The 27,131-nt window shown below is 36.8% G+C and overlaps 1 protein-coding gene across 9 annotated transcripts in view; it reads left to right on the forward strand.

Annotated features, from left to right (window-relative positions):
• WWP1 (WW domain containing E3 ubiquitin protein ligase 1) overlaps positions 1 to 27,131 on the forward strand; it is a 125,957-nt gene that overhangs the window by 10,995 nt on the left and 87,831 nt on the right. For 5 of the 9 annotated variants that reach the window (NM_007013.4, XM_024447056.2, XM_005250761.5 and 2 more), the window contains exons 2-3: positions 15,398 to 15,490; positions 20,489 to 20,579. In NM_007013.4, the coding sequence (NP_008944.1) occupies positions 20,510 to 20,579 (70 nt within the window). In that variant the 5' untranslated portion in view covers positions 15,398 to 15,490; positions 20,489 to 20,509. The remainder of the gene's footprint in view (positions 1 to 15,397; positions 15,491 to 20,488; positions 20,580 to 27,131) is intronic. The other 4 variants (XM_005250760.5, XM_017012994.3, XM_017012993.2 and 1 more) reach the window with 1 other exon arrangement.

Here is a 27,131-nt window from a genome sequence, read left to right on the forward strand (position 1 = left end):
GAGTGCAGTGGTGCAGTCTCAGCTCACTGCAACCTCCATCTCCTGGGTTCACGCAATTCTCCTGCCTCAGCCTCCCAAGTAGCTGGGATTATAGGTACGTGACACCTGCTGGCTAATTTTTGTAGAGATGGGGGTTTCACCATGTTGGCCAGGCTGGTCTCGAACTCCTGACCTCAAGTGATCCGCCTGCCTTGGCCTTCCAGAGTGCTGGGATTACAGGCTTGAGCCAAGGCACCTGGCCATGAGAAGCCTATTGTATCTGTTTGTTTTCACTGTCTCTTTGAGCCCTTTCTTTTGAGGAAAAACAACAGCCATCTCTTTTTGTCTATGCCCTGTGAAATATTGTGTCGATGTTTACAAGTGAATACCGAACAGAACGTATATATTATACTTGGGAATACCATTTTTCTAGGTTAAAAATTTTGGTAATTGTAACTTGTTTTAAAACTTTCTTTGTGATTTAATTTTTCCATTAACGTATTGGCTATTTAGAGCTCGGGCCTTAAATAAAGTAAGACAAACCTAGAATTGGGTGTTGGCACCCATGGGCTGAGTGCTACTGTTTAAGTTAACTTCAGATTAAGCCCTAGTTTTATCATATGTAAACTGAGAATAATATACCCAATTCATGGGTTTCTTGTGTGACTTAAACCTGGCACTTAGTTTTCAGTACATATTCACTAGGCTGGGTCTATAATACCTTCTCATTGATGTCAGATCTATTTCAGAATTTTCTTGAATTTTGGAAAGGTAATCCATTCCATATGCTGTTAAATAAAACTGCAGTAAAGTCTAGGGCAGTGCCTGTAGTTTGTTTGGCAAATGCTTGTGTGTGGATAAGTAAGGTTAATAAATAGCCACACATCAGGTCAGATTTTGTTGCTAAATGAACTTTCAGTTTTTTTTTTAGCTTTTTGCATTTTGGGTCAGTGGATAAAGGATTGTGTCCCTGTATTTTGGATTCTAATACTTTCCTCTAAGAATGAGGAATATCTGATGAAAGTTTATCCTTTATGGCATGCTTTAAAATGCTTAGGAAGAGTATTTGTAAATAGTGAATTAACATTGTGTATCTATTACATGAATAACTTGAAAATATCTTGAAATTTTGTATTTATAACAAAATGTGGCAGTACTGTATTCCTTTCAAGTTCTTAAATGTAATTTCTAATCCTTACTGCAGGTGTGTGAGGGGCTTTCTTTACCTACTTTTCTCTATATTGTTGTGGAAGTATGGAAGAAAAATATTGAGAGTTTTTGTGCCTTAGAGTAGTTGAGAGTGTGGTTAGAGTGGTGGTGATCAGGGTGGGATGGGGTTAGGAAATTAACTATTATTGGGCACCTTCTTATTCCTGATTCTAGAAAGAGTTCCACTTTCCCACAGTTAATATTAACACCTTTTTTTAAAAAAACCCTCACAATACTATATTAATTTGGTGTTATTATCCTCATTTGACAGACAGGAAAACTGAGACTCAGGTTAAATATGCACAAATAGAGTTGAAGTTTGCATGTAGGTCTGTCCGACTTGAAAACTGTTCTCTGCATTACATTACCAAAATGTGCTCTTCTCAAACTTAAAATTGGCACTTTGGAATTGAAGAGTTAGGACATCTCCATGGCTGCTTAAATGCTGATAAATTAGAATTCTTAATGTATTAAGAAACAATCAGGAGATGTTTTGAGGTGAACATAACTTTGAGTAATGATATCCTGATGATGAGCACAGTGTAGAAGAGTGCTAGTCTCATCAGCAGTTCTGGGTTTGGCCTGCCATTAAGAAGCTCTGTGTTTCTGAGTAATTCTCTTAATCACCTCTCATCCTCAGCTCAGCTCCATGACTCTGCTTTGTGCTGCTTCATAAATGCAGCAAGTATGTGTATTTCAAGAATGCCAAAATATTAAAAATTTTTGAATTTTAAGGAAAAAAGTCGTTAAGCAAATATACTATTAAAATATCAGTTTGAATAAAGTGACCAATTACTTATGGAAATGTTTGTGTCATTTTGAAATAAGAGATTATACTGAAGTTTGATCTTCATAGAGTGAGAATGTCATGTTGTCCTGAATGCTTTCCCAGAATACGTGGAAATTATGTGTTAAACATGATCTCTAACAGCTTACCTACTCCATTGTTTATGTGCTTATACTTTTACACACTTATCTTTTTACGATTAATTGTTCTTTCTCTTTTAACCTTAAGGAAAGGTATTTTCAAAGGCTAGCTTAACAGCCCACAAAACCACCTGACGTAAGCTTTAGTTGATAAGAGAATAGTAACTTCAGATTGATACAGCAAACTTCTCATTTTAAGGCATGGGTTAGCTCAGCACTTCTTATTTTATATTTTGTTTCTGCAGTGCGTATGTAGTGAAAAGAGCATTAGCTTTGAGCCCAAGGAAATCTGGCTTCAAATTCAGACTTACTAGTTTCATGGCCCTGGGCAATTTACTTCAACCTAATTTTTCTTATCTGTTAATGGGACTAATAATGATGACTCTAATGGATAATTGATAATGTTAGAGATAATTTTTTTGTAAAGTGACTGACATATAATAGGAGCCCAGTAAATGTTTGCTGCTGTTGTTATATTTTGGAGTCAGAGGCCTGGTTCAGGTTCCGTGTTTTAAGACTGGCTGTGTTTTCTGCATCACTCAGGTGCCCCACCTAAGTGTATGAAGTCTTGGGCTTTATCATCTTACCTTTCTGCCTAGCAAGTATATACACATCTCTTTTTATATGTTAACTTATGTTGATTCTGTAAGTTTGGAACCCAAGTTTTAATGTTCTTAGAATCATATTTTCTTCAGAAACATGCAGTATAGGAGTGGGAAACCTGTTTTCTGATGTTCACTAGGGTAAGGGGAAAAACTTATCAAATGCACGCATATATATATTTATATATATATTTTTTTTTACTGTAAAATCTTTGGTATTTGGTATAATATGCAAACATAATATTGTATAACAAACTGAGAAATTATAGCAAATTAAAAGAAAAAAACTACCTCATTCTCAGTACTGTACTGATACCATTTAGGTTTATCTTTTGTTGACATAATAGAGTAACGATGCCAAAGAAAGCCCTATGTTTTTGTCTGTCTTTTAAAGGTCCATAGCTGCTTAGGTTAAAAATTGGAATAGTTGCTGCTAAGTTTGATGAATACATTGTCTTTTCTTTCTAATGTTTTCTAGTAAACATAGTAACTGATATCCTTTCCTGCAATGGAGGAAAGCTGTCAATTTCATTTTGGGGAAGTTGGTGTAATCTATTTTAATATTTTTTAAAGGTTCTTTTTATGGTGCAACATCACCACCTTGTGGCCTTCTAGAATATTGTTGCAAGGTTGTTTCCACAACTGTAAGCATAAATTAAATTGTTCTCTGATGTTGGCCAACGACTTCGTCTAGTTTGTAATGGATAGCTTTTTACTGTAAATAGGGGTGGAGAACAGAAAATAAAATGGTTTGTATACAAGGATTGCAACTTTATAAAAGTCTATTTGAGGAAAATAATTGTATAAATCATTCTGAGGTTGGTATAATAATTATGGATGGTTTCTGTGTATTTCATATTTTCATGAAATATGCACTATTTTCAGTGAAGTAATTCTAAGCTAAAAATTATCAATATGTTCTATGTTCCAATTCTCATTTAATAAGAAAACTGAGGCCGAGTGAGGTTTAGATGCCCCATCTCACTCAGCCATTTAATATAGAACTGTTTGTTGTCTAAAACAGTGTTTTCTAAACTGATGACTCTTGGAGGGATATTTTCTACATGAGTCTTTACACTTTTTTCTTTTTTTATATGACTGCTAACAGCCAAATACTCTTTTCATTTTGATGATAACTTTAAGGGGAAAAAAATCAGTATGAAAAGTATGATGGTTCATTTAAAAGAGCATCTAGAATAAATAGGCCATTTGGTTTTACTGCTCGTATTTACTTAGTTGTTTGGGCATTTGGTTGACACTAAGTATTCTTCAGTAGCAAATATGTATTAAACACTTCCAGTATGCCAAGCTTTGAGGGAGGCAAGCTGGATACAGTGGCGAGGACTTGCCCTGGCATTCTTGGAATTTAGTATTCAGTGAGATAAATAAAGCTGTTTTGATGACAAAAGTTTAATATCAGGGATTCTGGATAAAAGTAGCTATAATTTGTTTTGTGTTAGGCATCATGCAAAGGGATTTAGGTACTGTTTTTTAGTCTCAGCAATTTATTTCAGAATTTTGCTTTGATTTTGCAGGAACAGTGTATATGCACACAAATAAGTATTGGTGGAAGCCCTGACATACCTCCATGGAACGATAGTTTTCCTTGTAAAGTATTAACAATTTGGCTGTTACAGTACCAGTGGGCTTTCACGGCTTGGTGTTGGTATCCTACCACCATTTGTCACAATGTTTCTGTGGGAAAATTTGTGTTGTATTCCAAGAAGCCATCTTGTCCTTAAACTTTTGGGGTCTAATGTTTGATAGTTTGGGGGTTAGCATATGACTTCTAAAGTGTTTGGAATGTTTAATTAAGGTCGGGGAGTATCCAAGTGTAATAAGCTTCTCTCTTATATTCTTTTGTTTCTTTGAGTATTTAATAAGTCAAACTAGCATTTTAGATCCTTTACTTTTGTATTGGACGTTTTTCTATTGAGCATTTGTTTTGGGCTGTGGAGATGAAATATTGGTGAGGTGAGCATGGACTTGAATCTTAGATTAGGGCAGAGATGGGAGAGGATGTAGGTGGGTATTGTCCCACTTGCATAGTATTTTCTTAATGATATTTTAATGTAAAATTTCAGTTCTATGCTATATAGGTATTTTCTTAACCTAACCACTCTAGCCATCTTTTATTGTTGTCTTAGCAGTTAACATAATAATATGTTGTTTTATTAATTGTGTATCTGTGTATCTTCATTTAATACACATTTATTGAGGAGTTTTTTTTTTTTTCCTTTGGAGACAAGGTCTAGCTCTGTCTCCCAGGCTAGAGTGCAGTGGTGCCGTCACAACTCACCACTGCCTCAAGTTCCCCAGGCTCAAGTGATTGTCCTACCTCAGCCTCTTGACTACAAGAATGCACCACCACACCCAGCTATTGTTTTTTTTTAATTTCCTTTATTTTGGGTATATATAATTCTATTTTTTTGTAGAGACAAGGTTTTACCGTGTTGCCTAGGCTGGTCTCGAACTCCTGGGCTCAATTAATCCACCCACCTTGGCCTCCCAAGGTGCTAGGATTATGGGTATGAGCCACCATGACTGGCCCATTTATTATTTAGTAGGGGCCAGACATTGGGCTAGAGGCTGGAATTACAATGAAGCTTGATAATAAAGACTTTAACAGTGTAACGGGAGAGATAGAGAAAAAAACATGGTTAGAGTGCTCTGAAGACAAATAGCAACTAGTTCAAAACTGGAGAGATGACACCTGAGCGGACAGATGATTAGAAATGAAGGAGAAGAGTAGTGGGAGAAACATGTGGGAAGTCGTTGGTATCCAAATCTGTATGAGAATCACCTAGAATGCCCAACACAGTCCCCAGGTGATTCTGCCATGCAGCCAGATTGGGGACAATTGGCAATGAATTAGAAATATGTGTGAATAGTGAACTTTTCTTCTGGAGAATCATCTTTTTTTCTCTACCTAAATTTTAATGAATGGAGGTAAGAGAGGGAGTGTGTATAAATAATCGATTTGAATGACCAGGACCAGTTTGATAATAGTTGGAGTGTACCCCTTTCTCTTCTGGAACCTATGCTATAAACAACTCTAACAGTTTCATTGTTTCTAACCATGAACTATTAAAATGAGCTGGAAGAAAAGTCTTGCCTATGGGGATTGGTGCCATTACTCAGCTGGGCCCAAGTTTCTCCTCTGTCTGCCTCAAATTCCTTACCTTAGTCACATACCTGGTAAAACAGGGAATTTTGTCTATTCTCATTGACCATTGTATTCCCAGTGCCCCAAAGAGTGTCTCCTACTTCACCGAGAAAATTGGAGACATTAGGTAACATTTCCTTAACTTTCTTTCCAGACATTTTCAAAGATAAGCATTCTTTTCTCTTCCAAATCTCAGAGTAAGAGCGGTTTTGTCTATACCTGTGTTTAATCTCAGCCAGTTCTGCCTTCTCAGGGATCTTGTGTTAGTGATCATCATCAGTGAATGACTACAGCTTCTGCTTGCCTGTAAATAATACTCTCTTTCATCATTAAAAACAGTCCTCGGCGGGCGCAGTGGCTCACGCCTGTAATCCCAGCACTTTGGGAGGCGGAGGCGGGCGGATCACGAGGTCAGGAGATCGAGACCATCCTGGCTAACAAAGTGAAACCCCGTCTCTACTAAAAATACAAAAAATTAGCCGGGCGTGGTGGCGGGCGCCTGTAGTCCCAGCTACTCAGGAGGCTGAGGCAGGAGAATGGCGTGAACCCGGGAGGTGGAGCTTGCAGTGAGCTGAGATTGCGCCACTGCACTCCAGCCTGGGCAACAGAGTGAGACTCCCTCTCAAAAACAAAAAACAAAAAACAAAAAAAAAACACAATCCTCTAAATATCTTTTACGCTTCTGTTTCTCTTGGGCAACAGACTGAGACTCCGTCTCAAAAAAAAAACAAAAAACCAAACCAAACCAATCCTCTAAACATCTTTTACGCTTATGTTTCTCTTTGATAGTCAAAATCATCTGAAAATAAGTTTCTGGTGGTTTTTTTTGCTTGGTAAGCCACAGGCTTCAGGTCCTACCTTTCCATGAAAATTGCTCTTGCTAAGGGCCTCGTAACTTTCACATTGTTCAGTAAACAATTTGCTCTTTTTACTGATCTTACCTTGGTGGAGTTGGTCACTGTTTCCTCCTCCTTGAAATTCTTCCTTGAAGTTTTCTTTTGGTTTTCCTCACCCCTTTTCATAGTTCCTGCCTGCTGTCCAGACTGTTAGTCCTGGGGTTACCTAGGTTCTGCCCCCTATGCAGTAGGCCTTTCCTGAGTGGGTACCTGTCACAGCATGGCTGGCTTTCAGTTTACTCTCAAGCTTTGCTCATAGGATGCCATGCACACCTTTGCCTCCAGAATATATCTCTTTGCTGTGCTGTGTCTCAGTCAGTAACTATTAATTGGGGGCCTTTCCCCAGCCAGACTCTGGCGTAGGTTCTAGGAATAGAATGGTAAATAAGATAGTCTCTGTCCTCAGGGATCTTACCTTGCAGAGTTGGGGGTATGGATAGAAGTGAGAGGACAAAATATATGAACGTCTGTAATTGAGAATTACTAGGACAGATAAAATAGGGCAAGGTGCTAGAGTTGGCCTATGGTGATCAGGAATTCTTTCTGAAGAGATCATATATAAGTTGAGTTCTAAGACTGAGAAGGCAGCCAAAGGACTATTGATTGGATGGAGCAGTGAATGCAAAGGCTCCTTTGCAGCATTCAGGGTAATTAGGTTGAGGAATGTCAGGAATAGATAAAGAGGAGAAGGAAGAGGTGGGGCAACAGATCACATAGGCATTTATGAGTTTGGATTTATTGTAGTTAAAATGAGAGAACGTTGGAAACAGAGTTACCTTCATGTATCCTGCTTTAGAAGGATCACTGTGCTGGGTAGAGGATGGATCTAGGTTGGGAGTGAAGAGTGGGGCAGGAAGACCATTTAGCAAGCTGTGCTTAGTTTGGATGAGAAATTATGGGCTTGGAGATAAGAGTTGTAGTGGTAGTGATGGTAAGAAGTAATTGGCCTAGGCAGAAATCTGGGACATATTAACATATCCCCTTCTTTTACCCCTGCATCTCAGTAGTCCACCACTTATAGATTCTGCTCCTCAATACCTCTGCTGCTTCTTCTCTTTCCCCTAATTTCAGGCCATTTTCTGCCTAGACTACTTTCAGGCTACCCTTACAACACTGTCAAAGGGGTTTTTCTAAAATACACATATATTCCTTCTCTGCTGAAAATGTAGTGGTTCTGTATGGCTTTCCTGGTATTCTTCATGCTATAGCTTCTTTCTGCCTTAATAGTTTTGTCTCTTAGATTTCTCTCCCCATACCCTTCCTAACAGAACTACTTTTTAACCTGCTTATGTTAGTCATCTCACCTCTCTGGGCACAGAATGCCTTGAAAGCATGTCTTTCCTTTCCACTTCTTTCCTTTTGTATGTGCAGCTGCTGCATTGGAGTCCTCCACAACTCATCTCAACTGTTACCATTTCTCAGAATTCTTTCCTGACAACTCTTTACCTCTTACCTCCAAATAATATTAAGGTGCTTTTGTTCTTCTGTAGTTACTGTCTGCACACCCCTTTCTGTCAATGAACTTAAAATTGAGTCACGTGTCTGTTTCTGCTACTAAATTTTAAACTCACTGAGAGCAAAGAGCATATTTTATATGGCTTTTATATTTCTAGTGTTTAATATATTACCTGAAAATATGCCTAGTGTGTGTGTGTATATATATATATATATACATATATATACACACATATATATATACACATATATATACACACACATATATATACACACATATATACACACATATATATACACATATATACACACATATATATATACACTAGGCATATATATATACACTAGGCATATGTATATATATACTAGGCATATATATATACAAGGCATATATATATATATATATATATATATATATATATATATACTGGAAAACTTCATTCAAAAAATTGTTAAAATGCCTAATGCCTAGTTTCTTTGATTATTGATCACCTTTTTTTTTTTCACATGGTAAATTGATATACTAGAAAGATTAAATTAGAGGCTTATGTCAGTATTTTTCAGGGAGAGAATGGAGGCCACATCAGTGTTTATTGAGTGATTGAATTGTAGTCTTATGGTGCAGACAGGTCCAGGAGAAAGTAGGTGTAAGGTGGCCACTGTTTGGCCTTGGAAGGGGAACAGAAATATTTCAGTAGAGTGGTGAGGGCAGCAACCAAATTGCAAGGGTAGAAGAATCGGTGACAAGCTTAGACATCATTATTTTAGGAAGTGAGTTCATCAAAGGAATTTTTTTCTCCCTTTTTCTTGTTGCTCTTGTTTATTTTAAGTAGTACATGAGCCCCAAATCTGTTTGATGACCAAAAAAGGAGGGTTTAAATGAGGGAGGAGAAGGGAGGGAAGGCATTATCCTAGAAGATGACAGTGTGTAGGTATACCACTTCAGAAAGTAGGAGGGTATATTTAATTTCAAGGACTCAATGCTAGACAAGATCGAGTGTAGTGTCTTTTTACAGAAATTTACATCAGAAATTATTTAAAATAAAAGCTGGGATTAGTATCTCAAAAGCACCTCAGTGTTTAGAATTAACAGATACAAATCAGATAAATATAGCAGGACTATCTGCATTTTTCTATAAATGCATTATTTAACTTTCATTATTGAAAATTGTTTCTCGTATTTAATATTATTTAATATTTTTCTCATGCTTAATAATTTAGCATTTATATAGTACTCGATAATTCATAAAGTGCTTATATAATCTTACCTTGAAGGTATCAAAAAACAAAATTATCACAAATTTAGTTACAGATCAAATTGGCTTTTATTCATGATCCATGAATGGGGCAGTCTCCATTCTACAATATGGAATGAGAACTTCTGCTGGGTAGTGGCAGAACACTGGGTTTTGTGAGATGGGGACGAGGAAACAACAACAAAAAAAGCTGACTGGTTAATGTCAGGTTACTTTTTTGTAAGGATTAAAGCAGAGGGGAATTCCTTATTATGTTGACTCAGTCAGACTGTTACCTGTTTTTAGGGAAAGCTGGTCTGCTGGTCTGCTTTAACTGTCTGCTTCCTTGAACTTTTAGTTTGATTATGTGGCATTTAGCATGGGTGGCTTCATTTTGTCTTGGTCTGGTCTTTTGGGGCCTAGTGCAGGAGCTTAGTCCAAAAACAATGGCTTCCCATAAGTTTTTTTTTAACAAAGGCTACTGAAAGAGGTTAAATTATATGTCTATGGGCCGAGCATGGTGGCTCACTCCTGTAATCCCAGCACTTTGGGAGGCCGAGGTGGGCCGATCACTTGAGGTCAGGAGTTCAAGACCAGCCTGGCCAACATGGTGAAACCCCGTCTCTACGAAAAATAAACAAATTAGCCGGGTGTGGGCACCTGTGGCCCCAGCTACTCAGGAGGCTGAGGCAGGAGAATCACTTGAACCTGGGAGGCAGAGGTTGCAGTGAGCCGAGATCGCACCACTGTACTCAGCCTGGGTGACAGAGTGAGACTCCATCTCAAAAAAAAAAAAAAAAAAAAGAAATTTGTCTGTGGTCTTGCTGATTTTATTTATTAGGTATTTATTCTGTGCCAGGAAGTATTTTTAGTGCTTTGTCACTAAAATGACAAAAGTAGTGTACGTGAAACACATTTTCCTTGAAAGGGTGGTTAGTTAGTTTTGCTTTGGGTATGTAATTGTAACTTTTCTCATTAATTGGGACAAGAACCCTGATAAGAAGAGCACATTAAATTGCTCTGATCATATTTTCTGGTGTGACTGAAGCCTTGCTGTGATGCAGGGCTATTTAGAAGGCAAGGACATAGATGGAATTTAAAGTACTCAAAAATGTACTTGATTAGAATTAATGAGAATGAAAAGAGAATTGAGTTAAATAGCTTCACTAGCTATTGGACTTGAATTTCTGTAAATAAAGTGAATTTTATGTGTTGGTTGCTTTGAGGGAGAGAAATAAATTTGTATTCATTATGTAACTAATAGTTTAGAGTAGGTGGGTCATAGAATAATTTTGAGAACAAGGCTTTCATATAGCTTAGAAATGGTTAAAATTGGCATTAAAAAGGGAATCTACAGAAAAATCAAGATTTGGTGCTTCATACTCAAAACTGTGATATGTATGGTGCATTTTAATGTAAGAATATGTTTTGCTTACATTATACATGTTAATGAGAGGTAAATTTTGAGGTAATGTACTGTAAAGCAGAAGAGTTTTCTGTGTAATTGTTTGAGAGGAATAAATCTTTAAAAATAAAAAATATTTCAGTGCTTTGGGAGTCTGGGGTGGGAGGCTCACTTGAGCTAAGGAGTTCTGGACCAGCCTGGGTAACATAGACCCCATCTCTACAAAAAACAAACAAAGAAATTAACCAGGCATGGTGGTGCGTGCCTGTAGTGTCAACTACTTGAGAGTCTCAGGCAGGAGGATAGCAGGAGTCCAATAGTTAGACCCTACAGTGAGCCATGATTATGCCACTGCACTCTATCCTGGGCGACAAAAGTGAGACCCTGCCTCGAAAGAAAGAAAGAAAGAAAGAAAGAAAGAGAGAGAGAGAGAGAGAGAGAGAAAGAAGAAAGAGAGAAAGAAAGAAAGAGAGAAAATAAAGTAAAATTAAAAATTAAAAATACAATTGAGTAGAAACTCACTTTCTATAAGAAAATGAAGTGGCTGAAAAATAGGAAGAGAGTGCATTTATGATAGGGGAGATGTGAGATATATCTGAAAAAGAAAAGTCAAGAAACAAGGACTAGATTTATGTTACTGGAAAAGAAGATGTAAAAATTAGAGAGTAAGAGAAAACAGAACCAAAAGGCTCAGAAAAAAATCTATGTATTAACGTTAATTAAAAATTAATGTATTAACTCCCTCTGGTTGAAAATCTGAAATTGGGTGATAACGAATAGTAAGAATTGGGTATTCATACTAACTTAGGAAATTGGGCCTTTTGAAGAAAAATACATTTTTCTCATAGAAATACTTCCTAAAGGGCCATATATTGTGCACTGAAAGGAACTTTGAAATTGACTAAAAATACAGAAAGATGGAGGGAAGATAGTCGAAGTTATTAGATTCTGTGGTTAGATAGGCATTTTTAGGCTTCAATACCTTTTAGGTTCCACATTTATTGGGTGTTTAAAATAAACACCCAAATTAAAGTCAGAGGCTAAAAGGTACCTGTAGATTCCATGTTTATTTGTTATTTGTCTGGTAGATATTGCAAGTACTCTTCAAATCACTGGAATGGTACAGCTCAGAAGTGCTATTCTGTTTTACTCTGCAGCACACTTGTAAGTTATCAGGAGAGGGGCATTCTTGTGTTTTGAATATGAATGGATCAATCAGTGATATAGGGAGAGGTCAAGTGTGGACAAGAAAGCTTTAATTTTTTGGCGGGTCACAGTGGTTGATGCCTGTAATCCCAGCACTTTGGGAGGCCCAGGTGGGAGGATCACTTGAGGCCAGAGGTTAAAGACTAGCCTGGGCAAATAGTGAGACCCTGTCTCTATTTATATATAAAAAGCTTTAAAAGAAATCACATAGCTTCTTTCCCAAATAGTTAGATGTATACATTGAGAACACCAAGTTTATTTGAAGGGAGAGAGAAAGGCACAATAAAGACAGAACCTGGGAAGAAAAGCCCAATGGGAGATAGAAGTGAAAAGTGATATTAACGTGGCACTGGTAAAATTGGAAACAATTGTACTTAGCCTGTTTTCTTGACATAACGTATGTGAAAATTTGAAACTATGAAGTGCTTCGCAAATGTAAAGTATTAATGACATTGCCAGTAGGTCCCCTACAGTGAAGGGATGCCGGAGAGTGCTGGAGAGACTGTAGTTCCTGAGTTAAGCAGACCAATTCTAAGGGAAGAGTGCAGTGGTAGAGATTCCTAGTGGGAGATTGTGGGAAGAATAGGACCCATCAAGTTCAGGATGGGGCCATATGAGCTAGTGAATGGAATGGAGATCAGCAAGATACAGGAAGGGTGAGTTGTTGGCATAGATGCAGAGGCTGTGATGGCTTGGGGTATGATGGCATGGGGATGATGGGTGATGGCATGGGCCAGGGAAGAACAGTAGCACTAGTTGGAAATGTCTTTGATTAGGGAGATCAGTGGTGATGATATGGACAGAGAGTCTGTTAAAAGTAAATGATTCGGAGGGCTAAAAGACCCTGGGTATTGAGAAAGCCTCTTACTCTTCCCTCTTCCCTTCTCCTGACATGTAGTTCCAGTGATATGATTTTGAGCCTTAGTGATGAGTAGTTCCTATCAAATTGGTTTTTCCTTTCTGAATTTGCAGGTCACATGGAAATGAAAAATCTAACAGAATTATATTTTTATAACAGGATTCCACTAGAAAAGTTTCTTTGAGATACATCAAGAGAGCTGTCTAGGCAGTTAGAGCCATTACACTGTTCACTAGGATTATCAAAAATCCCAGTTTGGCCAGAACTGAGAGGTTTCCCAGGATGCAAGTTTAAAACCTGATGCTCCTGAGCAAACTGGGACGAGTTGGTCACCCTCCTGTTTACTCTTTCATTTTATAAATTCATTGAAATGACCAGTATTTCTATGTAGAAGTAATATTACTATATTCGTATATATAATTTAATTTAAAATTAAGTCCTCTATTTTGTAGTTTACATTTTAATGAAATATTTATTTTATGCTTTGGAGTTGCTCTATTGAGGGGGGAGACTGCATGGTTCATCCATTTTTATCTTTGCCACATTCATTGAGTTTTAAATTTGGTGCTTGATAAAATAGCTTTGCCTAAGTGCAGGCTTTCTAACCTTTTAGGTTCCACATTTATTGAACTAAACTGCTCTGTTACATATCATCCTATCTTGTTACTGAGTTTTTTTCTTGTGTATTAGTGTTGTCTTCAAAATTAGACTCAGTATTGAAGCCAGGACTTTGTCTTCTACCATTTCTGTATCCTTGCCATACCCACTTTATAAACTAGGCAGCCAATAAGTATGTTTGTTAATTGATCCAGGCACATAGATATGTGACAGCATTTATTTGACTTTTCAAAGTCTTAACACTGCAGAGTGTGCAGAATGAATCAGATCTATTCTAATTGGATTTCTTTCTTTCTTTCTCTTTCTTTCTTTCACAATTTTGCTTCTGACTTGAGAAAGACATTTTGAAGTAAGCAGGCAATTAAGATATGCCTTCTAAATGAGGATTTGATAGATCTATAACCTAAGAGTACTGGAAATGTCGTTTATTATCTACATTCAGGACTTTTTTCTGTTCTTTGCAGTTGAATAATAGTGAACCTTTATACAATTCTGTGGGATTTTCAAAGGGTTGGACTAACATAATCAGCTTAGATATTACTGACCATACCCTCTGAGCATAGATTATGACCTAAAACTCAGACTTTGTTTTTTCTTTTGCCAACCCTGCTTTCTAAATTGCTGAACCTAAATTGATCATATAGTTTTTCTGTCTTCTCATATCCTGGGGACCAAGGACAACTTGATAAAAGTCATACCACTATGCAGATTGTTGTCCCTGAGGGCTTGTGATAAGCACAGTATTAATACGGCTCAGCAGAATTTGATCAGCACTCTCTCATTCTGTTCAACATTTATTCCAAAATATCTCCACTGTGAACAAGCCCATTGTCTTCCATGGAAGTTAATACCACTTACATAAACCGTGACTCCCAAATGTTTCTTCTCCATGGACCTGTTTCCTCAACTGCATGCTTCTCTAACTAGCTGTCTATTACACCTGGTTGTTAGCAATTTTCTTTTGAACTGCATATCCAAATGAAACTTGTATATTTAACCTCCTTCTCCCACAATAAAAACAATAAGTCATCTTTATTGAGTCTTTACTTCGTGTCATATACTCTAAGTGCTAAGTGTTTTACATGTATTATCTCATTTAATTCACATTGTAACATGAGATAGATGACTTTGTTTTTCCTATTCTACTGCTACAGGAAATGAGCCATGGAAAAGTTAACTTGGTCATACAGCTCTTAAGTGGCAGAACTGGAAATGAAATTCAAATAATCTTACTCTTCTCTCTATCCTGGTTAGGGAACCATCATCCACTCAGACAATGAAGTGGGAAATTTTAGTTTTTCAGATTCTTGTTTTTTTGTAACCCTCAGCCATCCTATAGTCATCTGGTCAAAGACCTTATATGTATCCTGAGTTTTTCTTTCATGGTGCCAATGCTCTAGTTCAGATAAGCTCACTATCTTAAATCTAACCCCCAGAGCTTCCAAAGTTATTTTTCCAAAATGCAATTCTCATCACTGAAACCATCAGGATAAACTTTAAAGTACTATGCATGGTATATTTTAAATACAATATAAACTATTCCATAGGATCCTATGCAGTTTAGACCCTCTCTGTTTGCCTGATCACGTTACACTGTCCTTATGTTCCATTGTCCACTATGCAAGCAGTTCTCTGGATGTGCCGTTCTTTCTGTAATTCTCTCTTGAAGAATTACACACTTCAAGACGCAGTTCTCTCAGAGGTTATCTTCTCTGTGATCCCTTTCTTGATCCCTGAAGGCTGGATTATCTACTTTCTCTTGTGTGCCCCAGATGTAGTACTTTACCTTTTGCATCTATTTTAGGAATTATCACACTGAAAGCTATTTATTTGTTTACAGGGTTGTCTCCTCACAGACTATGAGCTCCTTGAAAGAGGGAATCGTGTCTTACTCATCTTTGTATCCCCAGTGTCTAGCAGTTCCTGATACATAGTAAGTGGTTAACAATTTTTTTAAAACTAAGACTATAATTAATAGTCAGACTTCATACATTTTGATAGTTAATTATGTAGACCTAGTAATACGTTGTCATAAAAAATATGGCTATAGACTTCTAATACTCCTGAGGCTCAGTTTTCTCATCTCTAAGATAGACAGAGTGCCTCCCTCCTCACACAGTGTTACTGTAATGCTCAGATGGGAGAATATATGACAGTACCTTATCTTTTAAGTGTCATACAACTTTATTAAATGAAGTGCGGAGAATAATTGTTGAAATTGATAATTTTATTTGCTGTATCTCTTCACTTTTAAGGCAAGATGGTATCATTTTTTAACTATCTCTCATGGTTTTAGTTTAAATTTGCAGTTACTGCTTACCAGAACATGTGCTCTTGAGTCTGGGGATTGGGTGATATGAAAGGGTTTATATAGAATAAAGAGAAAAATAGATTGGGGGTGGGGATCAGGGTACAGAGAAAGTTTCATGTAGTAAAGTGAATAGTTTTTTACCTGATTGGCACTGTTCCCCAGTTTGCACAGTATTGTAAACTTTTAAGATTCTTCTCAAATAAGTAATCTATGCCTCTTGCCTTTATTCTCAGTAGTTATCTTTCTGTTTAATTCCCTAATAAGGTTCTTTGATTTTTGTTTAATCTACCTCCATATGAATCAATATCTTCACCTATCCTTAAATCCCTCATTTACTGCCTAGAGGAAGAAGTGTCTTTTTCTTGGAAGACTAAATGCTGTCTGAAAGCTGTATCTGTCCTTCTTTTGCATCACAGGCCCCAGTAATTACACTTGATGAGTTAGTGATTTATACTTTACTGTATCTACTTCCGTGCCTTCCATACATTCTTTAAATTAAAAAAAAAACCCATGTAATTTGAGTGTACCAGATAATATGTAACATATGCAAGTCAATAATAAAAAACATTTGGGAACCAACTGCTCAGCTGAAGAACTAGATCAATCCCAATATGGTTAAAGAGCTGTGAAAACCTCTCTGATTCCATATTCTTACCTTTTCCCAGCCCCTAAAGTAAGTGCTATCCTGAACTTGTTTCCATCTTTTCTTTTTAAAATACCACAAATATGATTGTTTGATTTGAATTTCATAATCATGTTTGTAGGCTTTTTAAAGCTTGCACATATGGTATTTTATTATAGAAGAAAATCTGATTTACAAATCTTTATACATTTCAAGGAAAACATTTAAACATCATAAAAGATGTTTGAGCAGACATAAAAATAGACAGAAATATCTCAGTAGGCAAATTCAAATTTATAACCAGAAAATAATTGTGGAGACTTATTTTTGGACTCTGTAGTTATTGCTGTATCATAGACAAGTAAACATTTCTGTACACTAGTTTCTTTATTGTGTGCAGAAATGTTTCCATAAGATTCATAGAGTACTCCTTGGAAGACTGACAGCTTGTTATTTGTTGGCTGTTTGGACCTTAGCAGTTCTTTACTGGGCTTCTGTAATTGTTCGTTGGACAAACTCTTGAGGCTCAGGATCCACAGTACCCCACATTTCTGGATTTCTTTTTCAATCATGGAATCATGGTGTTTTCAAAGGAAATGAATAACAAAAGATGAGGTCATGATAACCATCAAAATAATTCATTTCTTCTTTGTCATAAGGAGTTGGAAGAATTTCTTCATGACTTCAGTGTAGAATGTTAAATCTTGGAGACAGAACTGAGAAGAAGGTGTTAATGCTCAGAACTCATCTGTCTTTTTTCTTTTCTACTTACTTGTTCTTTTTCTTAGATATATTCATGGTATTGCTTATAGCTATATTCATTCTTTTTTTTTTTTTTTTTTTTTTTTTTTTGAGACAGAGTCTTTCTCTGTTGCCCAGGCTGGAGTGCAGTGGCAAGATCTTAGCTCACTGCAACCTCTGCCTCCCGGGTTTAAGTAATTCTCCTGCCTCAGCCTCCTGAGTAGCTGGGATTACAGGCACCTGCCACCTCGCCTGGCTAATTTTTGTATTTTTTTTTTTTTTTTTGGTAGAGGCGAGGCTTCACCATGTTGGCCAGGCTGTTCTTGAACTTGACCTCAAGTGATCCACCTTGGGATCCACCTTTGGGAGGCATCTCAGCCTCCCAAAGCACTGGAATTACAGGCATGAGCCACCGCCCCTACCTGTAGTTCATTCGTTCTCACTACTATATAATGCTCCATTGTATGAGTTAGGCTAATTTATGTAACCATTTTTCTACCAATGGACATCTGAGTATTTTTCAATTTTTTTGTTATTATGAAGAATGCTTATACTTGGTACACAGGTACAAAAAATTTTATAAAATTCAAAATTACTCATTGAAGGGCATACAAATGTTTAGCTTTAAATGATAATGCCAAATTATTTTCCAACAGGATTTTGCCATCTGAAAACGCCTACCAGCGGTGTATAAGAGCCACCACTGTTGCATGTTTTTTGCCATTATTTGGCACTATCAACATTCCTAGTTTTTACCATTCTAATGAATTTAAAAATGACATCTGTGTGGTTTGTATTTCTCTGATGGGCAGTGAGATTCAACATTGTTTCATGTTTGTTGGCCTTAGAAATCTCCTTTTCTGTATAATTACAGTTAAGCCTTTTGCCTATTTGCCTAATGTGTTATCTTTTTCTTATTTGTAAGTATTCTTATATATGTAGTTTAAATACTAATCTTTAATTAGTTTTTTGTTTCGCAAATTTATTCCAGTTTCTGGCATATCTTTTCATTTTCTTTATGATGTCCTGATGAACAGAAGTCTCAGTTTCCGTGTAGTCAAAATATTCACCCTTTTTTTCTTTTTTTGAATCAGGGTCTTGCTCTGTTGCCCAGGCTGGAGTGTAGTGACGTGACCTCAGCTCACTGCAGCCTCCACCTCCCAGATTCAAGCAATTCTCCCTCCCTCAGCGTCCTGAGTAGCTGAGACTGCAGGCGCCCACCACCACGCCTGGCTAATTTTTGTATTTTTTTTTTTTTTTTTTTTTTTTGAGACGGAGTTTCGCTCTGTCGCCCAGGCTGGAGTGCAGTGGCGCGATCTCGACTCACTGCAAGCTCCGCCTCCCGGGTTCACGCCATTCTCCTGCCTCAGCCTCCCGTGTAGCTGGGACTACAGGCGCGCGCCACCATGCCCGGCTAATTTTTGTATTTTTAGTAGAGACGGGGTTTCACCGTGTTACCCAGGATGGTCTCGATCTCCTGACCTCGTGATCCGCCCGTCTCGGCCTCCCAAAGTGCTGGGATTACAGGCGTGAGCCACCGCGCCCGGCCTAATTTTTGTATTTTTTTAGTAGAGACAGGTTTTCGCCGTGTTGGCCAGGCGGGTCTTGAACTCCTGACCTCAGGTGATCCACCCGCCTTGGCCTGCCAAAGTGCTGGGATTACAGGAGTGAATATTCACACTTTTCTTATTTGGTTAGTATGCCCCTGTCTCTTAAGAAATCCTTCCATCCTGAGAGGACACAAAACAATAGTTTTCTGCTGTAATTTATTCTAAAAGTTCTACTGTTTCCCTTTCATATTTATGTCATTGGTCCATCTTGAATTGGTTTTATATATGATGTGCAGTAGGGGTCCAGTTTCATTTTTTTTCCATATGGATAATTCCAGGTTTCTTTAAGTGTCCCTCTTTTCTCATGGATCTGCATTGCTACATCTTTTATGTGGGTTTGTCCTTATATGCATTGGTCTGTTTTAGGGCTTCCTATTTTGTTTCATTTTTTTCCCCTTCGTTAGTCTTATCAGACATTTATTTATCTTAGTGTTTTCTAAGAAGTAGCTCTGACTTTGTTGATCCTTTCTGTTACCTTCTTTCTACTTCATTAGTTTCTGCTCTTTATTAACTCCTTTCTTTGGGTTTGTTCTATTTTTCTCTTTCAGACTTACCAGATGACCTACTAACACATCAGTTTTCAACCTTTCCTTTCCTAGTATGTCTTTAAGGCTATAAATTTGCCTCTAAGTATAACTTTTCCCACACATTTTTATATGTGGTATTTTTGTTTTTCAGTTCTTAGTTTGTTTTTTTTTTTTTTGTAATTTCCAACATGGTTTCTTTTGATTCACTAAATATTTAGAAGTGTTTTTAAATTCTATTTATAGTTTTCAAATTTATCTTTTGTTACTGATTTTTAACTTAATTGTATTACGGACAGAAACTTAGAACATTTTTTGAAATTTAGTGAGATTTTCATTATATTTCAGTGTATTTTTTTTGTTTGTCACTCATGTTTCATGAATACCTGAGAAAAATTTTTATTTTCTGATAGTTGGTTATGAGGTTCTGTTGATGTTATTAAATCCTGCTTGTTCATTATTATTTTTTTTGTCTGCTTGACTTATGATTAATTGGGATGTGTTGAAATCACCCACAACAATGGCCAATTTGTCAATTTCTTCCTGTAGTTTTTACTGTATTTTGAGGCTTCCCACCCCATGTAGACTGTGAATTTTATTTTGTCTTGTCTGGATAGAGATTTTTGTTGTTGTTGAGACAGAGTCTCGCTCTGTTGCCCAGACTGGTGGCTTGTTTTCATATAAATTTGATTTTTAAGATTATAGACTCAGACTTGGTTGCTCTTCGTCTTAGGTACTCCCAATGGCTTAAATTGGGGTACTTTCCTAAAACATACGTATATGCTTCTGCCATATGTTAGGAGTTTCTACTGACTTGGGCCCTTTGCTTGGTATGGGAATCTCACTCCTTCCCCTTGTAGCAGGCCCAGTGCTTTGTCTGTTCCTGTAGCAGGCATATCCAGGGCAACATTCTAATGTTTATTTTTATTTTTGCTTACTACTCACCATTTTTTCTGTTATTTCAACTAACTTTAGGGTTTTCTTTTAATGGGATGGTAATAGGCTTGATAATTTTCATGTACTTTTTGAGAACTTCTTAGTTGATTTAAACAAGTAGTTTTAATATCTTGAAAATTACAAACTCTTATCTAACACATGAATAAATTCCCCTTTTTTAAAATAGGTTTTAGCTGAATTTTGGGACATGGCCACTGCTTCACCAAGGTCTGATACTAGTAATAACCACAGTGGAAGGTTGCAGTTACAGGTAACTGGTAAGTTATTTTTATATTTAATATGGTGATTCCCTGATGAACTTTTCTTTTGAATACCTAATTCAGCAGACTTATTCCAGAAATAGAATTTCTTTTAGATTCATACTATGGCATATTTGTTGCAACAAGCCTCAAAGGTAGATGCCCTCCAAAACTATATTATTTATTCAGTAAATATTTATTGAACCTATGCTGGATGAAGAGAAGATATAGCCTCTGTAATGGTGGGAGAATTTGGGCTTTTGAATAAGTATCATTGCATTGGCCCTTAAATGATTAATAGGATGGAGCAGGATGCCAAAGGCCTTCTTACATACATTTAGCCATTTGTTCAATCATTGGGCAAATATTTAAGTGGGATTACACAGTACTGTAATTCCCATGGTACTCATTATATGAATTTAGTTATTTCTAGGAGGTTTCAGTTAACAGAGCTAGGAAATGTTTCTTGTAGAAAGCAAAAAATAAAAAATATTTTAACATCCTGAGTTCATGCTGATATTTCCAATTCATAATAATAACTGTAGTCTATAAGTACCATTTTCTACTAAAAGGAAACAAAATTTAAATTAATTTGACTTTATATTCATATCTTTTTTTTTCTTTTGAGATAGGGTCTCACTTTCTCTCCCTGGCTGGAGTACGGTGGCGCAAACATACCTCCTTGTAGCCTCAAACTACTGGGCTGAAGTGATCCTCGTGCTTCAGCCTCCCAAGTAGTTGGGACTGCAGATGTTCAACACCTTGCCTGGCTAATTTAAAAAAAAATTTTTTTAGAGACAGGGTCTCACTATGTTGCCCACGCTGGTCTTGAACTCTTTGTTTCAAGCAATCCTTTTGCACCACCCTCCCAAATTGAGCCACTGTGCCTGGCCTGTAACTCTCTCCTCTTAATCAAAAAATCTCCATTCAAAATGACATTATCATAATATCTGTTTTTATCCTACTACACCAGTTCAAAATAACATGAAAATTACCAAAAACAGAGGGAGAAGGAGGTGAAAAAAAGGTAATTTAAAAAATTACCAAAAACAATAGGTCTACTCATTGCAGTTTAAGATTTCTTTGTGTGTTTTCCCCCTTTAGGACGTATAATCAAAATACCATGTTTTAATGTACTTTAGTAATTCTCTATTTGGTTATATCACCAAATTGATAATTAGTTAAGTTCATCGTTTTCAGTTTTTTTTTTAATTTTGTTTTATAACCTTGTAAGACATTTACATAGTCCCAGAGTCAAAACCAAGGTACATTTAGAGAGGTCTGGCTACTTGGTCCCATTTTCCCACTTCTCTCCCTTGCCCTGTAGGTTCACATTTTTATTAGTTTTGCTTTATCCTTCTGTTGCTTCTTTTTGAAAATATAAGCAGATACATGTGCAGTATACGTATCTCATCTCTCCTCTTAATCTCCTAATTCTTGCATACTTCTCTGTGCTTTGCTTTTTTTAACTTTACAGTATTATTCTGGAGTTTGTTTCATAACAGAATATTCTTTTTCATCATTGCGCCATATCCTGTTGAATAGATGTAAAAAAGCTAACTAGTCTCCTTTTGCTGGACATTGGCGTTCCACTGTTTGCTATTACCAATAGTGCTGCAACAAATAACTTCATACAAAAGTCGTTTCTTATGTCTGCTCATGTATCAATAGGATAGGATCCTAGAATGAGATTGCTGGGTCAAAGGGTAGACACATGTAATTTTGCCAGGTATTGCCAAGTTCCTCTCCATGGGGTCTGCACCATTTTGTGTCTACACCAGCTATACATGACAGTGCCTGTTTTCCCAAAGCCTAACCAAAATCTGTTGTCAAGCTTTGGGATTGTTCATAATTAGACACTGAAGTGGTATCTTAGTGTTATTTAAAATAGCATTTCTCTCACTGTAAGGTTGAACTATAAGGGATATTTGGATTTTGGTTTCTGTGAATAATGGGCATCTATTTTTGAAACAGTTCTGATGAAGCTGATAGGTACTCCACTGAAGAACCACTTACATAATTCCTTCTACTTTTGCTCTGTATAAGAAGCTTAGAGCCCTATTTTCACTACATTTTCAGTTTATTGTAACTTGCGTAGGACCAATGGACAGTACACCTGAGGTGTAACTTTCAAATGATCTTGACCTATGTATAAGAGTTCTTAGGTAAAATAAGAAAAAACTAGGCCAGGCGCGGTGGCTCATGCCTGTAATCCCAGCACTTTGGGAGGCCGAGGCAGGTGGATCACGTGAGGCCAGGAGTTTGTGACTGGCCTGGCCAACATGGTGAAACCCCATCTCTACTAAAAATACAAAAATTAGCCGGGCATAGTGGCACATGCCTGTAATCCCAGCTACTTGGGAGGCTTAGGCATGAGAATCACTTGAACACTGGAGGTGGAGGTTGCAGTGAGCCGAGATGGCGTCACTGCATTCCAGCCTGGGGGATAAAGTGAGGCTCTGTCTCAAAAAAAAAAGAAAGAAAAAGAAAAGAAAAAGAAAAACCTGATCTGGCTAATTTGAGGTGAAAAAGAACATACTGAAAGACTATCAGGTGACTCAAATCTGGAGAACCAGTTGGAAAATAGATGTGGACCAAGGCAGTCTAAGTAGCCAAAACAATGCCATGACAGTATTTATCATTTTGAGCGTCAGTTGCTGCTCTCCTTTGAAATACAGTGATCCTTTTGGGAAAGAATGATCATGGACCTGTGCTAAATGGCACCAGGTTTTAGTGCCTTCTTTTCTTCTTGTCTTTGTCTTCCGTTTTGTTGATCTAATTTTTAAAATAAAAGTCACCTTAAAATTACCAGTCTTACTGATCTCACAATAACTTCTGCAATAAAGATTACTACTCCTGATTTGTCAGTGAGGACACTGAGAATCAGAGGGATTAAGTGCCTTGGGTTAATAATGAGAAACCAACTGAGGTCTTAGGACTCCAAGTTGTTGCTCCTTTTATTAGATTACAAAGACCTCTGTATTGATTTTTTCTTTTTTTTGAAATGGAGTCTTGCTCTGTTGCCCAGGCTGGAGTGCAGTGGCGTGATCTTGGCTCACTGCAACCTCCCCCTCCTGGGTTCAAGTGATTCTCCTGCATCAGCCTCCCAAATAGCTGAGATTACAGGTGCATGCCAGCATTCCTGTCTAATTTTTTTTTTTTTTTTTGTATTTTCAGTAGATACGGGGTTTCACCGTGTTGGCCAGGCTGGTCTCGAACTCCTGACCACAGGTGATCCGCCTGCCTCGGCCTCCCAGAGTGCTGGGATTACAGGCTGAGCCACCACGCCCAGGCTTTTCTTTTCTTTTTAAAAACAGTAAGTACTCAGATTAAGACCCCTCTAATATTGCAGTCTGGCTGTTTATTGTCTGTAAACCGAGGTTCTCTGCCCTAAGCCAATTTTTTTTTTTTATTTTTAGCATATTTACTCTTATCCTCATTTCTGTTCTTAACCCTTATCTGATTGGCAGCAACATGTAAGAATAAGAGCATTGATCATGGAACGCGGAAAAACTGATGGAAAAAATCAAACAGAAAACTACCTATTGTCATATAGTAATATACTGTAATGTACCAGCTACTCAAGGATAGTAGCATATAGAAGTGTATTATCTTCGATATTTTAGATTTTAGACTTTCAACAGGAAACTGTCAGAAGCATAGAGTATGCAAGATGTATAAAGGATGAGATTGAAGAAAAAATGGGCTGTTGTATTCATGTTTATAATTTTTTTTTAGCTATTGTGTCTTCTAAAGCATTTTCACTTTTTAAAGTAAAAGTGTCAAATCATATACCACTTATTTTTGTATGAGTGGTGTGAATTATAGACTTCATTCTTTTCAAATGTTTCAAAATTTATGGTCTCATCTATCTTCCCATTGATTTGAAATGCCACTGTTATGCATTAGTATCTTGCTTTTCTCTTTACTTCTCTTTTACATCACTGTCAAACCATTTTAATTATTTTCACTTTATGGTACTTTTTAAAAAAATATTTTGAGAAATTTCCTTTTATTACTTTGCATTTTAAAATACACGTTTACTGTTCTTGATTTTTCTTTGGCTTTTATTTGAATATTTAAGTCTCCCTTCCTTTTCCTCTGCCCCCACCAAAAACACTCAAAACCAATCAGTTGGTGTTTTTATTTTAAAATAATGTATTAAATTGGAGCTAATTGAAATATTTCAATGTTAAACTTTTCAAATCTAGGAATATATCATATCATTTTTTTTAAGCCTTTGTTTCCATTGGTAAAGTTTTATAGTTCTCTTCATGTGACTCTTACTTATTTCTTAAGTTTATTACTAGATTTTTTGAAGGGATGTTATTGTGAGTGGGATTTTTGAGTTAACTCTCCCTACCCTCTCACAGGTGACTCATTTTCTGATAGTTTAAAAATACTTATATAACCTTAGAGTGGAGGACATTCTGTGTATAACACCAAAGGAAACTCATTAAATGAGAAAAAAAATCTATATATTCTACTAACTAGAACAACTTTTTGAATTAATAAGGTTGTCTTCTAGTTATTTAAAATCACATTATTTATATGTACATTTTGCTAGCATATTTATAAATTCCTCATGAGATTAAAGATTATTATCTTTGAAAAATCTCTTTTCTTACCTTACCCTCTAGTATTGTTGAGTATTTTGCCAAGTAAGGGTATTCAGTGGACGTATTTTGGATGGATCTGTAATGAACTCAGAGAAGAGTTAATACTATATAGTCAGTAATAATAGAGTAACAGCTACCATTGTTGGATGCCAGACATTCATTGATGGTGATAGTGCCTTGCATGCCTTCACTCACCAATCCTAAGAATCAGGTACTGCTGTTCTTCTGATTTTTCAAGTAAGGGATGGAGAAATTAATTGACTTACTGTGGTCAGGCTTTTAGTAAGTGGCACATTTGAAAAATGAACCCAGATATGTCTATCCCTCTGCTTTTAACACCATCATATACTGACTTTTCCTTCTTCCAGTCTTCTGCTATATGGATAAGACTTACATATACTGAGGAAATATATGAGCACTTTTATTCAAAGAATCTTGGGAAGTTTCTTGGGAGAGAGCAAGTCTGGGCCTTCTATATTAGTCCAGTGGCGCTGAACTTAGAGCAGTTTGGAACGATGAAGGATGGAAATGAGTTTTGCTAAGACCCTGGTAGTAGCAGTTCAGACATAACATTGAACACTCTTTAATTGCTATGTTGCCGGTACTTAAATATAGTATTTGCTTGGAATCTTGCATTTATCACATTGTATTTCAGTGATTTATTTGTGTGACTATTTAGATTATTATTCTCTCACAATAGAATGGAAGCTTACATAGCTTTGGTTGTTTTTATATCCTTAACATCCGGTGTGTATGACATGAAAGAGGCTTTTCCCTTCCTCATCTCTGATCTAGGGTGTTCACAGGTAATTGATTATAGAGGTGATCTTGATAAGTTGTTCTTACTGCCTGTTCATCAGTATTTTGCCCAGAAAGTAGATAGTCCCTGATTTCTTCATATCTCAGGTATATTAGATTTTCACTTTCTGGAAGGGGTTATGATTAACTTTTATAATGACATTTTGATTTTTAAGCTTTTATTTGAAAATGCAAATACTACTTCTTTTCGAAGCTAACTTTCCAGATAAAACATTAAAGCATTTTTTTAAGTGCCACAGTTATGTAATTTCAGAAAGACAAGTTAATAGTACCTGGCAGGGATGTTAATGGGCATGTTGAATCTGAAGACACTTTTCCCTTGATCTTTAATGCAGTTGTTGGTGAGAATGTGGAGAAATCAGTGTATATTGTTGATAGGAATATAAAATGGTGCAGCCACTTTGGAAAATAGCCTGGCAGTTACTCAACAGAGGGTTATCACATGAGCCAGGAGTTCTACTCCAAAGTATATGCCCAAGAGAAATGAAAACATACGTCCACAAAAAAGCCTGTGCACAAATGTTCATAACAGCTTTATGCACAATAGCCACAAAGTGGAAGCAGTTCATATATTTATCAGTTAATAGATAAAATGTCATATACCCATATAATAGAATGGTATTTGGCAAGAAAAGGAGTGGAGTACTGGTGCATGTTACAATATGGATGAACCTCAAAAATGTAATGCTGAGTGAAAGAAGCCAGTCACAAAAAAAACCCACATTATATGATTCCATCTATATGAAATGTCCAGAATAGGCAAATTTAAAGAGACAGAGAGTAGGTTAGTGGCTGCCTAGGGATGGGGGTGGGGAGAGGGTTGATTGGGAGGAGAAAGAAGGGGGTGACTGCTTAATGGTATGGAGTTTATTTTTATGGTAACAAAACTGTTTTAAAATTGATTGTGGTGATGGTTGTGCCACTCTGAATATAGTGAAACCATTGAATTGTACAGTTTAAGTGGGTGAATTATATGATATGTGAATGATAGCTCACTAAAACTGTTACAGAAACATTCAAATGGCTCTCAAGCATTATCAGTAGCCCTTTTGTATTGTTTCTTCATTCTGCCAACGAGAAGAGTTCTAGTTGCACAAGAAGCACAATTCCATTCTTATTGATTGATTAGTGT

This window comes from Homo sapiens, chromosome 8 (assembly GCF_000001405.40).
Source record: "Homo sapiens chromosome 8, GRCh38.p14 Primary Assembly".
Lineage (NCBI taxonomy): Eukaryota > Metazoa > Chordata > Mammalia > Primates > Hominidae > Homo > Homo sapiens.